At 43.5% G+C, this 15,518-nt stretch overlaps 1 protein-coding gene across 1 annotated transcript in view; it reads left to right on the top strand.

Annotated features, from left to right (window-relative positions):
- POLR3A (RNA polymerase III subunit A) overlaps window positions 1-15,518 on the top strand; it is a 54,367-nt gene that overhangs the window by 15,641 nt on the left and 23,208 nt on the right. Inside the window, exons 11-19 of the mRNA NM_007055.4 lie at window positions 85-225; window positions 3,335-3,404; window positions 3,884-4,011; window positions 4,200-4,338; window positions 6,009-6,173; window positions 8,987-9,159; window positions 11,567-11,678; window positions 12,781-12,899; window positions 13,757-13,894. Coding sequence (NP_008986.2) covers window positions 85-225; window positions 3,335-3,404; window positions 3,884-4,011; window positions 4,200-4,338; window positions 6,009-6,173; window positions 8,987-9,159; window positions 11,567-11,678; window positions 12,781-12,899; window positions 13,757-13,894 — 1,185 coding nt within the window. The remainder of the gene's footprint in view (window positions 1-84; window positions 226-3,334; window positions 3,405-3,883; window positions 4,012-4,199; window positions 4,339-6,008; window positions 6,174-8,986; window positions 9,160-11,566; window positions 11,679-12,780; window positions 12,900-13,756; window positions 13,895-15,518) is intronic.

Genomic DNA, 15,518 nt, shown 5'->3' with positions numbered 1-15,518 from the left:
CCATTTTTAATGTTTCAAAACAGAGAAGCTTTTGGATAAATGCCTAAGTCCTCTTCCTGTTTTGTTTTGTTTTGTGTTCCACAGGCCAGGGTCAAGCCCCACCGGACCTTCAGATTTAATGAGTGTGTCTGTACACCCTATAATGCTGACTTTGATGGTGATGAAATGAACCTTCATCTTCCTCAAACAGAAGAAGCTAAAGCAGAGGCCCTTGTTCTGATGGGGGTATGTAGGGTGGCACAGCCCAGCTTTTGCATAACAGCTCCTTGAAAGGAGGCAAAGGAAACTTACATGAAAACACCACCACAACTAACAACGCCAAAGAAGCCAGGCTCTTTCTGTTCTTAAACCGACCACTAACTGCCTATATATCTCTCTTTTTATTGGTTTCTTTTGAGCCTTTGAAGAATCTCTTAGAAATTATAGTATATACATGAGAGTTAGGGTCTGTAACAGATGCGTTGAGGGGATTTTCTGGCCTATAAATGTGGGTTCTGGGAGAAAATGTATACATGAGGGCCAGTTATGACAAGGTAAGAAAAGAATATAGCAATATCAATGTTGGCTGTCACAGGGGAAGAAGATGTCCTACCTAAGTAAATTTTCCAGTAGCTGAAGATTCTTTAAGCACCAGCACATTTTATTGAACATTCTGAATGGAAACCTTCCTAAACTATATTACATACTTCGTCTTCTTAGAGGATGCAGTATTATACATAATGATAATAACTCTTACCACCACTTTATTTGACAAATGCATAAGGAGTGCCCAGTAGATGCTGCAGGAGATCGGTGATAGTGAGGCACGTGCCTGCTCTTAAGGAGCTTACAGTTGAGCTTTAACTGTTGGCACAGGCTGGCGCTGTGGCTCAGGCCTGTAATCCCAGCACTATGGGAAGCCTAGGCAGGTGGTTCACTTGAGTTCAGGAGTTCAAGACCAGCCCGGACAACATGGCGAAACTCCATCTCTACGAAAACTACAAAAATTAGCCAGGTGTGGTGGCGCACGCCTGTAGTCCCAGCTACTCAGGAAGCTGAAATGGGAGGATTGCTTGGTCCCAGGAGGTTGAGGCTGCAGTGAGCTGTGATTGCACCACTGCAGTTCAGCCTGGGCAACAGAGCAAGACCCTGTCTCAAAAGAAGAAAAAAAAAAAACCTGTTGGCACTACATGTACTATTCACTCCTGACCCAGCAATAGCACAGTGGGACATGGCACCGGCTGTGTAGGATTCTCTCCTCCTGAACTTCATGATCCCCAACTACTGAGTATTTTAGAGCTTCAGGCTTTCTTTTTTCAGTATTCCAGCTTCCTATATTAGGAACTGGTAAGTCTTATAGTTGTAAGTGTCCCTACCTCCAAAATCACTTATTACCATTTCTGATGTGATGCTTTTAACCTGTTTTGGTTTAGGCTTTTAGTATTGCATGCATCATTTTGGGGTTTTAAGTTGTCTATACGTTTAGATTTTTTTTCTTTTTCTTTTTCTTTTTTTTTTTGTTTGTTTGTTTGAGACGGAGTTTTACTCTTGTTGCCCAGGCTGGAGTGCAATGATGTGATCTCAGCCCACTGCAACCTCTACCTCCCAGGTTCAAGTGATTCTCCTGCCTCAGCCTCCTGAGTAGCTGGGATTACAGGCGTCTGCCACCATGCCCAGCTAATTTTGTACTCTTAGTAGAGACAGGGTTTCACCACATTCGTCAGGCTGGTCTTGAACTCCCGACCTCAGGTGATCCGCCCGATTCGGCCTCCCCAGATGCTGGGATTACAGGTGTGAGCCATTGCACCTGGCCTTAGATTTATTTTCTATAATGAGCATATATTATTTTTGTAACAAAAAGTAATGTTTAGAATGCTGCTTGAAATAATAGCTATCAGCTTGCAACCAACCATTTAGACTTTGCTGTCAACTCTGCCATTGAGGATCCATACTGTGGACATTGTGTTACAACTGCATATTTCATTGGTTACAAATGGCAATAATAAAACAAAGTCTCCAAGGATTTTGGGGTAGAAGAATCCTTAGTTACCATGTGGACAAGTTTCCTCAATTTCAAGTAAGAAAATACCTATCGTTCTGATTTAGCAATGCTGTTCTCCGTGTAGTGCATAGGGCTCTAATTTGGATGTGGGCCCAAATTACCCAGGAGACCTTTTCAAAATACACTAATCTCAGCCCCTTGCACTCTGCTTCTATCCGTAGACTACCTGTATCCCACCTCAGAGAGAGTCTCTAAACCAGGAGTAAGAGCAGTCAGGTGGTGTGCAATGAAGAGGCACATCTGGCTAAATAGCTGTCTCCCACTCTGGTTGAAGGGTCCCTGCTTTGGATAGTGGCTCAGAAGTAAGTGGTAATGGGCCTTTGTCTGAGAGGACCCTGCTTTCTGGGTGAAAAGGCCCAGAAAACCCACAAATACACATGTGCATTTTCATATCAAGATTAGAGCAAATGTACTCTCATACACACAGAGCCTTCTTTACATGACTTAATTATGTTTTACTACCTAACACCCTTTTTTGCCCAACGTAGGCCCTCATTAAATGTTTAATTAAATTCTGTTGTTGGATTGATTATTATTAGAACGTAATGTCTTAACCAAGGGACATTTAACAGTTCTGTCATCATTGTGGACAAGTGTGGAATTGGTTGACTTCAGAGGTCACAACGCTCCTCATCATTCACAGAAATGAATTTTCTTTGGAGAAGCACCTATAGTAATAACAATAGGGCTGGGTGCAGTAGCTCATGCCTGTAATACCAGCACTTTGGGAGGCCAAGGTGGGAGGATCAGTTGAGCCCAGGAGTTCGAGACCAGTCTGGGCAACAAAGTAAGACCCCGTCTCCACAAAAAAAATGCAAAAACTTAGCTGGGCATGATGATGTGGGCCTGTAGTCCCAGCTGCTTGGGAGGCTGAGCTGGGAGGATCACTTGAGCCCCATGAGGTTGAGGCTGCAGTGAGCCATATTTGCACCACTGCACTCTAACCTGGGCTATAAGCAAGACTCTGTCTCAAAAACAAACAACAATAAAATCTTCTTACATGGGTAGAGTTTTTCATAGAATTCTGAAACAACTTCACTTGATATTTCATTTTGGTGTTGGTAGGACCCTCCTAGGTCAATCTTGCTGGTATTTTTTTCTCTCCCCTTGACAGATAAAGGAACTGGGAGTTAGTGACAAAGCTGGGATTCAGACCCCTGGCTTTCATTTCTCAGCCTCGTCCTTCTGCTACTCTGTATTTGTTCATAACTATTCAAAAACCTTGTGATTCAGGCTTTGGGCTGCATCATGCATCCGAGAACAGCTAACTGACTGCGCTTACTTTTCCTACAGACTAAAGCAAATCTTGTAACCCCGAGGAATGGGGAACCGCTGATTGCTGCTATTCAGGATTTTCTAACAGGTAGGTTGGTGAAGTTCACTTGAAAGGAGATTTCTGACTGGAACACAGTGTTCCTCGTTCATAGTGATTCATGTGATGACTTGAAAAGCTATTTAATAGCCTGTGTTTAATTTGGTTTTTTGTTTACTAAGTTTGATCATGAACCTCCCCGTGGGTTTTTTTTTTTCTTTTTTTTTTTAATTGGTTGGTTATTCATTAATTCAGCAAGTCTTTAATGAGCTCCTCTCATGGACTGGGCATTTTCTAAACCTAGTGTCTGGCTTAGAATCTGTCCCTTTTGCCTGGGGATACAGCAGTGAACAAAACAAAGTCACGTTCCTGTGGAGGTAGATCCTAGTTGGAGGAGAAAGCCAGTAAGCAGCTGTTTGTTTCAATTCACGCTGTTGGTCATGGTTCAAATTTATTTTAAAATTGAAACCTTGCAGTATTCTCACAATTTCATTCCTTTTCTTTGTTTTGTGTTGGTTCCTAATGCTTAGGTGCCTATCTCCTCACTCTCAAGGACACTTTCTTTGATCGAGCCAAGGCTTGCCAAATCATTGCTTCAATACTGGTTGGCAAGGATGAGAAAATTAAAGTTCGCCTCCCACCGCCTACAATCCTAAAGGTGTGTGTGGGAGTTGTGTGTTGGTGCACAGGTGTGTGTATGTGTCTGTGGGGGTAGACTGGTGAAATGAGTGGAACCGTGTTGGTGCTAGGCTTGAGTGCAGTCCCTAGGCCGCCTGGCTTCGTCTACTGAAGGGGGATTGAGACCAGGCTCAGCCCACTGACTCTCAGGCTTCCTCCCCCCCTCAGCCTGTCACCCTGTGGACGGGAAAGCAGATCTTCAGTGTCATCCTCAGGCCTAGCGATGACAATCCAGTGAGGGCCAACCTGCGAACCAAGGGCAAGCAGTACTGTGGCAAAGGGGAAGATCTCTGTGCCAATGATTCCTGTGAGTGGACGGAACTCGGGTGGGGAGAAGGAGGAACGTGACAGAAAAGCAAGTGGCTGGTCATCAGCTTTGCTGGTACCTTCGCGAAGCAAGCAAATTCATTGTTTCTGTAAGCCTTAGGTGGAAAGTTTTTTCTTCAGGAAAATGTAGCTGGTTTTTCTTCTCTCAGATGTAATTCCCCATTTCTCTTAAAAGTAGAGATCATGTAGACACATGACGCAGTGGTTAGAATGTTCTCTCCAAATGTGTTTTGTCTTAAGTGACTAGTTTTTCTCACTTAGTAGTTTGTCTGTATTTTGTCATCTTTTTGGCGGCGGGGGGGGCAATAAACAAGGATTTTACTATTTAAGGCATTTAATTTTTTTTTTTTTTTTTTTTTTTTTTGAGACTAAGTCTTGCTCTGTCACCCAGGCTGGAGTGCAGTGGTGCAGTCTCAGCTGACTGCAACTTCCACCTACTGGGTTCAAGCGATTCTCCTGCCTCAGCCTCCTGAGTAGCTTGGATTACAGGCGCCCACCACCATGCCTGGCTTATTTTTGTATTTTTAGTAGAGACGGGGTTTCACCGTGTTGGCCAAGCTGGTCTTGAACTCCTGACCTCAAGTGATCTGCCTTGCCCTCCCAAAGTGCTGGGATTATAGGCATGAGCCACTGCACCCAGCCTGGATTGATTTTTTTTTTTTTTTTTCAAAGACAAACAGGTTCTCCCTACGTTGCCCAGGCTGGTCTCGAACTCCTAGGCTCAAGCAATCGTCCCACCTCATCCTCCCAAAGTGCTGGGATTACAGGTGTGAGCCACCTCACCCAGCCAGGGAAAGGATTTACATGCAAGTCATCTGAGTCTGTCTAAACCAGTTCAACCCGAAGTGCAGTCCACAGAGCCCTGCTGTTTAGCCAGCATCCATTGAGTTACTTTCTGATGTGAGCACGTTCACTCACCCAGACCACTACCAAACAGTTCCCTAGCAGCCTAGTTTGAGTAGCACTGATTTAGAATGGGCTTTGCTAGTGAGACCTTGGGACTAGAAGTGGATCTCCAGGACTCTGTACTGAAGAACTGAATTGCAGAGTTCTTCTGAAGGTCAGGATTTCTGCTGTCTTCTAATGAAGAGCAAATGTTTTGAAGGGCACTGATACTCCTCAGATTTATTTCTTTGGAAATATGCTCTCTGATCTTCAAAATACTTCAGCTTCTTGTTTTAGACTGTTTTGTTTCTTTTTGGATATGAATTTCATTTGGTTGTTGTATAGGCTGTACATGATGGTACCTTTGTTAATATTTAATATCTTATATGAGTAACAAATTATTTATAGTTTATAGAGCACTTCACTGTATGTTATTTCATCTGATGCTCAAAATATCCCATAACATAAAGATGACAAGTGCTTGATACTGTTACCCACAGTTCACAGATGAGGAGAGTGAGGGTCAACTGGTATATTTCAGGGTTAGGACTACACACTAACTGGAGTTTCTATATTTTTCAAAAATTCCCAAGTTTTCCTTTAACCCCCCCTCCCTCCCCCCAAAAAAAAGCTTTGAGGAGAATTTCTGTTTGTTCTGCTTTAAGTGTCAGTATGGGAACATATTTTCTCAACTGTCTCAAATTCATTTTGGAATAAGGCAAAGTAATAAATAATTGTTGTCTAAATATATAATCATTCTTCCAGATGTTACAATCCAGAACAGTGAGTTGATGAGTGGCAGCATGGACAAAGGAACCCTAGGGTCAGGATCCAAGAACAATATTTTTTACATTTTGCTGCGAGACTGGGGACAGAATGAAGCTGCAGATGCCATGTCACGGCTCGCCAGGCTGGCTCCTGTCTACCTGTGTAAGTATCTCAGCATCCTTCTTTTAGTTAAAGCTGCAATTGTTAGAGTCTTAAGGGTTTACGTTATTTTGTTCTTTTACTGCCATTTCATCCCCACCACACATATACATACAGAAAAAGATACTCATTCCAGGCTAAATCATGTGTGCTGTTATTAATTAAATTAACTCAGTACTGAATAGTTTCACAACAGATTTGAATTTGCTTTTCAGTTCTCTTCTCAAAACCAGCAGTAGCTCCCTACGGTCTTCTAGACAGGGTTAGATTATAAACCATCCTTGATGGGCTGCTTCCAAGGTCCCTGTGGAAGCACTAGAACACTTGGGGCTATCCATGATTCAGTTCTCCAAGATTACTCAATATTTGCCTACTATGCTTTCACTGTTCTATTTTGTTTGTTTGTTTGTTTGCTCATGCTTTGAGTGGGCCATGAGTCAAGTGATGTTTGCATGCCCCCAAAACTTTATTCCACTCTTATACTTGCCTGGGTATACAATTTTAGATTGAAAATTATTTTCCCTCAGAATTTTGAAGGTACTGCTCTACTTTCTTCTTGCTTTCAGAGTTGTTGTTAACAGGTATTGTCGTTCTTATTCCCCAGTTTTTGTATTTGATTTTTTTTTGTTTTTTGAAGATAGGGTCTTGCTCTGTCACCCAGGCTGTAGTGCAGTGGTGTGATCTTGGCTCACGCAGCCTCTCGAGCAGCTGGGACTACAGGCATGTGCCACCATGCCCAACTAAGTTTTGTAGAAATGAAGTCTCACCATGTTGCCCAGGTTGGTCTTGAACTCCTGGTCTCAAGTGATCCACCTGCCTCCACCTCCCAAAGTGCTAGGATTACAGGCATTAGCTACCATGCCTGGCCCTTGAATTGTTTTTTTCATTTTAGAAACTTTCAGAATCCTCTCTGTTCTCACTGTGAAAGTTCACAACAATATACCTTTGGTGTGGGTCTTTTTTCATTCACTGTGCTAAGCACTGAGTAATTTCATTTAATCTGCAGCTGTGTGTCCTTCCATTCGGGAAATTTTATGTTATTTCTTTAATAATTTTCTCTCTTTTACTTTCTCTGTTCTTTCTTTTTGGAACTTCAGTTAATTACATATTAGAACTCCTAGATTAATTATCTAATTATCTTCTTTTCCATTTGCCATTTCTTTATTCTAGATTCACTTTATCTTTTAATACTTCTGTTGATTTTTAAAATTTTATCACTGTCATGTATTTAATTTCCAATACTATTTTTCAATATACTTATTCACAGGTAGTGTTTTTGTTTCTTTTTTTTTTTTTTTTTTTTTTTTTTGAGACAGAGTCTTGCTCAGTCGCCAGGCTGGAGTGCAGTGATGCAATCTCAGCTCGCTGCAACCTCCGCCTCCCAGGCTCAAGTGATTCTCCTGCCACAGCCTCCCGAGTAACTGGGACTACAGGTGCCTGCCACCATGCCCGGCTAATTTTTGTGTTTTTAGTAGAGACGGGGTTTCACCATGTTGGCCAGGGTGGTCTCGAACTCCTGACCTCAAGTGATCTGCCCACCTCGGCCTCCCAAAGTGCTGGGATTACAGGCGTGAGCCACTATGCCCAGGCTGTTTTGTTTTTAAAGCTTTCTTGTTTTGATCCCTGAATGTATCTTCTCTGATCACTCTGAGAGAATATTATTCATAGTTTTATTATATTTGCTTCCTGAATTTTCTGTATCCTTTTACTTTCTTTTTCCTGTGCATTTGTGTCTTTTGTCTTTCATGTTAAAATCTTTCCTCAAATATCTGGTGGTCCTTGAGGAGTAAGGACTGAAACACTGATTGGAAATGGAGCTGACTGGTTGATGGACCTCTCAGTTTTTTTATATAAAAGGAATATACAGACTTTCCCTCAGTGCTCTTGTTTACAGTTATTTCATCTGCCTGGTATTCCCAGACCCAGAGCCTCTCTGATTCCATTTCGCTGGGAGCGAACTCCCATCTCCTACAGGAATAAGGGCCTGGAGCCTTCCTTATACAGACTTTCCACTAGGTTTCCTTGTTTCCAGCACATTCATCATTTCCAGCAGTTGCAGAACCTAATGATCTCATTTCTGAGCCTTTCCAGGCCCATTAGTCCTCTCATCTACAGATACTTGTAGGTCATACCTTCCTATCCTGCTAAGCCAGAAGCCACTCATTCACTCTCTTTATTTCTACATACAGTATATTGTGGCTAGGATCAATGGTGGCACCTAGTTCCATCAAAGTTGGAGAATACTTTTTTGTGTGTGTGACACAGGGTCTTGCTCTGTTGCCCAGGCTGGAGCGCAGTGATGTGATTATGGCTCATTGCAACCTCCACCTCCCAAGTAGCTGGGACTACTGGCATGTGCCACCATGCCCGGCTAATTTTTTAAGGTTTTTGTAGAGATGAGGCTGATCACAAACATCTGGGATCAAGCGAGCCTCCTGCCTCAGCCTTCCAAAGTGCTGGGATTATAGGCGTGAGCCACTGCACCCAGCCCTCAGGCCACCCTTTAGTGTTTAATGTCACTCTGCTTTAGATAATAGTTGGAAACGGTATTGTGTTTCCCCACCAGATCGTAAGGTCTCTGAGAGAAGTCAGTTGAGTCCTAGTCATTTTGTGTAACTCCCTAATGACTGAGAAAGAAAGCCATTATTTAATTGAATTGTGATGAATTCTGTGAAGATATACACTTTTTTATACTTTAAACTATACATACATAGTTTATATATAGTACAAACTATATCTAGCAGGCATAAACTGTATTTAGTAGGTTTGCTGAGTCTCATTTATGGCCCTTTCTTCCTGCTCTACCAACTCAACAGCTAACCGTGGTTTCTCAATTGGGATCGGTGATGTCACACCTGGCCAAGGACTGCTGAAGGCCAAGTATGAGTTGCTGAATGCCGGCTACAAGAAATGTGATGAGTACATCGAAGCCCTGAACACGGGCAAGCTGCAGCAGCAGCCTGGCTGCACTGCTGAGGAGACCCTGGAGGTGAGCCCGGCCCTTTGGTTCAGGGTCGCCACTTGCCGTGCACAGTGGCTACGGTGGTGCTCTCTGGGGTTGTGCTGAGCCATGAATAGAGGTAGCAAAGGAGTGGGCAAGTCAAGGCATTGGCGTCTGTCCTGTTGGGGCCCAGGGCTCACTGTGTATGTCCTCGTCTGTCCTGTTGGGGCCCTGGGCTCACTGTGTGTGTCCTTGTTTGTTTCCTGAGGGTAGGGCCTTTCATCAGATCCTCATGTCCCTCCTAACTTTCACATCCAGGTGGTGAAAACATAGCCATCTGTTCATTCGGCCACACGAGGCTGCTCTTGTTCTGGTGGCACACTCAGGTCCCTTCTGTAACTGGTACTCGAGTGCTCCTGCCTTTTCTATTTTCAGCATCCTTCAAGTAGAAACTGACACCACAGCTCTTTGGTTTTTGGGGGTTTGGTTTTTTTTGTTTTTGTTTTTGTTTGAGACGGAGTCTCGCTTTTCATAGTTTTATGAAGCACTCCAGCCAGGCTGGAGTGCAGTGGTACGATCTTGGCTCACTGCAACGTCTGACTCCCTGGTTCAAGCAATTCTCCTGCCTCACCCTCCCAAGTAGCTGGGATTACAGGCACATGCCACCATGACCAGCTAATTTTTGTATTTTTAGTAGAGACAGGGTTTCACCATGTTGGCCAGCACGGTCTCGATCTCCTGACCTCGTGATCTGCCCACCTTGGCCTCCCAAAGTACTGGGATTACAGGTGTAAGCCACTACGCCCAGCCAGTTTTTTTGTTGTTGTTTTGTTTTAAGATGGAGTCTCACTTTGTCGCCCAGGCTGGAGTGCAGTGGTGCAATCTCATCTCACTGCAACCTCTACCTCCTGGGTGCAAGCAATTATCCCTGCCTCAACATCCTAAGTAGCTGGGATTACAGGCGCCCACCACCATGCCCAGCTAATTTTTTTTTTGCATTTTTAGTAGAGGCGGGGTTTTGCCATGTTGGCCAGCCTGGTCTCGAACTCCTGACCTCAGGTGATCCACCCACCTCGGCTTCCCAAAGTGCTGGAATTACAGGCATGAGCCACCGTGCCCAGCCTCACCACAGCTCTTTGAATGTATGGTCTTTGAAAGAGACTTGGATGCGGAAGAGGGAGAATTCATGTCTAATAGTCACATCCCCAGCCTGCTGCCCCTCATTTGAAACTATTTTAGCTAAGATCTCAACCAGCATGGGTCAGAATCAGAATCACCACCAGCCTGTGAGAACCTGAAACTCCCTCAGCAGTCTGAGTGCACCAGGCTTTCACCTGGCCGTCTTCTGCCTCACCGATAAACCCGTGGCACTGAGCTTTGACTCACCTGAGTGTGGAAGAAAGGCTCTTTAAGCATTGGGAAGTTTTCTAATGAAATACATTTTCTAAAGCAGGGAGAAACCAGAATTTTGTGAGGTATTTACCATTAGCTCATTCTTAATCTTACTGAGTCTTAGAGAGAGAGAAAAGGATATCCCTCACCGGTACCTCCTAGAAAATTACTTGAGACCTCGGCAGCAGCAATTTTTCATGGAACCAGACTTGTAACTGATTCAGCATCCTAGTTTGTAAGTTGAGGAGTAACTGTGGATGAGCTCATGAGCCGGAATATTCTTGTGAAGTCACCTCATCACATGCCTAGCTTGCAGACATTCAGATGTGTGCTTGGCAAGAAAAAGTAGAAAGACAAATTTACAAATAGTACAGGCAATTCTCTTTTACATACCACATATTATCTTATATATTTGTATGGGGTGCATGTGTGTGTCCACACAGCTATTTATATACAGATATTTTGTTGTGTAGGGTAGTATACACAAAGCCATACATTCTACCTTATGGGCCATTTAAAGGATTCTTCAAGTTTTTATTACTGTCAATTTTAGGCCAGGCTTGGTGGCTTATGCCTATAATCAAGGCAGGAAGATCCCTTGAGGCCAGGAGTTCAAGTCCAACCTGGGCAGTATAGCAAGACCCCATCTCTACAAAAAAAATTTTAAAAATTAGCCAGGCCTGGTAGGGACATATACCTGTAGTCCTAGCTACTCAGGGGTCTGGGGCAGGAGGATCACTTGAGCCCGGGAGTTTGAGGCTGCAGTGAGCTGTGATTATGCCATTGTACACCAACCTCAGCAACAGAGTGAGATCCTGTCTCCAACAAAAACAAAAAAAAGATAAACTGTTTGCCTTATACACCAATTTTAGAACCTTGTAGAAGATGTACATGTTCATATAGCCAGGGCATTTTGCTCCTCTAAGGTTCTGAAACATTTACTGATCGGAAATCGGGCATCTTGCCTCAGTATTTTCAAATTTCTTTAAATGTTAGATTGAACATTTGTAATCCACAGAGACAATGAGGACAACCCACCAAGGATCTCCTTTTCTCCCACTAGGCACTGATCCTGAAGGAGCTGTCTGTGATCCGTGACCACGCTGGCAGTGCCTGCCTCCGGGAGCTGGACAAGAGCAACAGCCCCCTCACCATGGCTCTGTGCGGCTCCAAAGGTCTGCATGCCCCTCTCTCACCTGCTGGCAGTGTGTTCTCCGTACAGGCTGTTTGGCTCCAGAAAATGTGATAGTCACAGCTCCAAACAGACATTTCATTTATTTAAGGGATCTTTTTAAATCAGAGAGAGAGACTTAATTATTTGCATTTTGGGAAGTTTAACTGCTTTGAAGGAACTTGTTGGTAATGTGTCTGGATTCTGAGTTTGAGGGTGCTTTGAGCAACGTGGTCTTTAAAAAAAAATGAGGCCAGATGCAGTGGCTCATGCCTGTAATCCCAGCACTTTGGGAGGCTGAGGCCGAGGCCGATTGATTGCTTGAGCCCAGGAGTTTGAGATCAGCCTGGGCAATATGCCAAAACCCCATCTCTACAAAAAATACAAAAAAAAAAAAATTAGCTGGGCGTGGTGGCTTGTGCCTGTCGTCCCAGCTAATCAGGAGGCTGAGGTGGGAGGATCACTTGAGCCCAGCAGGTCAGGCAGGTTGAAGCAGAAGAAAGCCAGGGATTTTTTAATGTACTTAATGATGTGGCATAATTCTTCTATTTTGTAGATACCGAGGCCCTCAAAGCATTTGGTTTTATGATAATGCATTCAAATTCAAAACCTCTGTGCTTCTATTTCTGTACACTTTTTTTTTAAACAGGATAAAGTCCAGTCTCTTTAACTTTGCTGCCTTTTACCCCATTGCTCTCCTGCTTCCTACCCTCAGGACATAGCCCACACTTTTCCATTTCTCTGTCTTTGCTTCCTACTTTCCCACCCACTTTGGAATTCCTCCCCCTCTCCCTTTATGTCCAAATCATAATGTCCTCCAGGAGTCCAACCTGGACTTGCTGAAGCCTCCTTGAAGACTCACCTGTCACTTCCCCAGCCTTTCCTCCAACCCACACATGCTCCTGGCTCCTCTCGCCGTCGTTCCGCCTTTCTTGGGTTCCTGACAGCTCCTTGTTGTCTTGATTGTATTTCTGTCTTCTACTGTTCCAGGACCATGACCTCATTGAGCATAAGGGCCTATTCCTGTTTTACCCTTCCAATCTGCATGCACTTCAATTAGTGTTATTTTGGTAAATGAATGTTACATTTCTGGTCCATGTCCCCAGGTTCCTTCATTAACATATCACAGATGATTGCCTGTGTGGGACAGCAGGCCATCAGTGGCTCTCGAGTGCCAGACGGCTTTGAAAACAGGTCCTTGCCTCATTTTGAAAAACACTCAAAGGTAAGCAGTAGCAGATCAGGTAGAACTGTGAAGATCTCTTAATCTACACTTTCCTCCAAGGAACACAGACCTATTCAGATCAAAGACCGTTGGCCAATTTCATGTGGAGTTTTATATATGTATTTTTTGCCATTTTATTAAGATACACTTCAGGCCGGGCACAGTGTCTCATGCCTGAAATTCTAGCACTTTGGGAGGCCAAGGCAAGAGGATTGCTTGAGGCCAGGAGTTCGTCTGGCCAACATAGCGAGACCCCATCTCTACAAATAAATAAACTTTAAATACATATATACTTCATATGTAATTATTACAATTATACTTCATATATAATTTACCCATGTAAGGCACACAGTTCAGTGACTGTTAATCACAGAGCTGTGCAGCCATCACTACAACCTACTTTTAGAACATTTTCAGTGCCCAGAATGAAACCCTGTAGACATTGACAATGCATGGTTATGTTTTGTAGGTGGGCAGGTCTGGCCCACAGGAAGGATATCTTGAAGGTGTCATTTCCCAGGGAATGGGCAGGCAGCCTCCATCCACAGGGTGTCCTCTGAGGTCCTTGACTGCTTGCCTATTTTAAGGAGAGCATCCAGATCTTAGGTTTCCCTCTCTTGGGCCACTTGCCTGCCACTGGCACCAGCACCAGCCCTGGCTGGGCCCTCATTCTCCTTGTCCCTGGTATAAAGTATTTCTCCATAAGGAAAGGGCAAAGAAAGCCTGCCATTTAGTGAGAATATACTGGCCAGGTATTTATAGTCTCAAGGTGGGGCATTTTCTGATTTGAGTGGATTTCAGAATCGTGGGCCTTGAACTTTTTTTGTTTGATTTTTCTTTTTTCTACCTCTCTTTAGCTCCCAGCTGCCAAAGGCTTTGTGGCTAATAGCTTTTATTCCGGTTTGACACCAACTGAGTTTTTCTTCCACACAATGGCCGGCCGGGAAGGTCTAGTCGACACGGCTGTAAAGACAGCTGAAACGGGATACATGCAGGTAACCTGAAGAAATGTAGGCCATTAGCAACAGAGCAGGACAGAGCTCTGTGGGTTTTGACTATTGAGTACACGTTTTGCACATGAGCTGTAATTTATCTAGTCTTGGGTTAAATTTAAAAGGAAAAAATGTAGAAAGGTAGATGCCCTGGAAATGAACAACCAAAAAAAATGTAGTATGTTCCGAATCATCCTATGATGATCAAGACCAGGCCAGAGCCACGCATAGCAAAGCGCTGTTAGAGGAGAACATGGATGGAAGTACATTGTGGGATATGTCATTCAACCTCACTAAGCCTCGCTTTACTAACACGTGACAATGAGGGTTATTGCAAGGCCTCTGCCTCTCTCTTTGCAACTATTTATGTAACTCATTATTAATATCATTCTAATTAACTCTAATGACCTATTCCAGTGCTTGCTGCGGGGCTTGGATGCTTAGAAGGAAAGCATTTCCTCAGAGAGTGTATAGCTCTGAGATAATAGACTCTGGGGCACAGGGCTAAACTAGAGGCTTCTCAGCATTTGTGCTTCTCAAACTTTACCACAAAAGTACCCTAATGGCAGAGGAGTGAAAAATACGTCTTCTTGTGTTCTTCCATAAGACCACAGGCAAAAGATGTCTTTTCAATCCCTGTACTCTCCACTCAATAATTTAACTGTATTTTTTTAATTTTATTATTATTATACTTTTAAGTTTAGGGTACATGTGCACAACGTGCAGGTTTGTTACATATGTATACATGTGCCATGTTGGTGTGCTGTACCCATTAACTCATTTAGCATTAGGTATATCTCCTAATGCTATCCCTCCCCGCTCCCCCTACCCCACAACAGTCCCCGGTGTGTGATGTTCCCCTTCCTGTGTCCATGTGTTCTCATTGTTCAATTTCCACCTATGAGTGAGAACATGCGGCATTTGGTTTTTTGTCTTTGGGATAGTTTGCTGAGAATGATGGTTTCCAGTTTCATCCATGTCCCTACAAAGGACGTGAACTCATCATTTTTTATGGCTGCATAGTATTCCATGGTGTGTATGTGCCACATTTTCTTAATCCAGTCTATCATTGTTGGACACTTAGGTTGGTTCCAAGTCTTTGCTATTGTGAATAGTGCCGCTATAAACATACATGTGCATGTGTCTTTATAGCAGCATGATTTATAATCCTTTGGGTATATACCCAGTAATGGGATTGCTGCATCAAATGGTATTTCTAGTTCTAGATCCCTGAGGAATCGCCACACTGACTTCCACAATGGTTGAACTAGTTTACAGTCCCACCAACAGTGTAAAAGTGTTCCTATTTCTCCACATCCTCTCCAGCTCCTGTTGTTTCCTGACTTTTTAATGATCGCCATTCTAACTGGTGTGAGACGGTATCTCATTGTAGTTTTGATTTCCGTTTCTCTGATGGCCAGTGATGATGAGCATTGTTTCATGTGTCCTTTGGCTGCATAAATGTCTTCTTTTGAGAAGTGTCTGTTCATATCCTTCACCCACTTTTTGATGGGGTTTGTTTTTTTCTTGTAAATTTGTTTGAGTTCATTGTAGATTCTGGATGTTAGCCCTTTGTCAGATGAGTAGGTTGCAAAAATTTTCTCCCATTCTGTAGGTTGCCTGTTCA

Source organism: Homo sapiens, chromosome 10 (assembly GCF_000001405.40).
Source record: "Homo sapiens chromosome 10, GRCh38.p14 Primary Assembly".
Lineage (NCBI taxonomy): Eukaryota > Metazoa > Chordata > Mammalia > Primates > Hominidae > Homo > Homo sapiens.
Note: the sequence above shows the minus strand (reverse complement) of the source record. Positions and strands in the feature narration are given on the sequence as shown.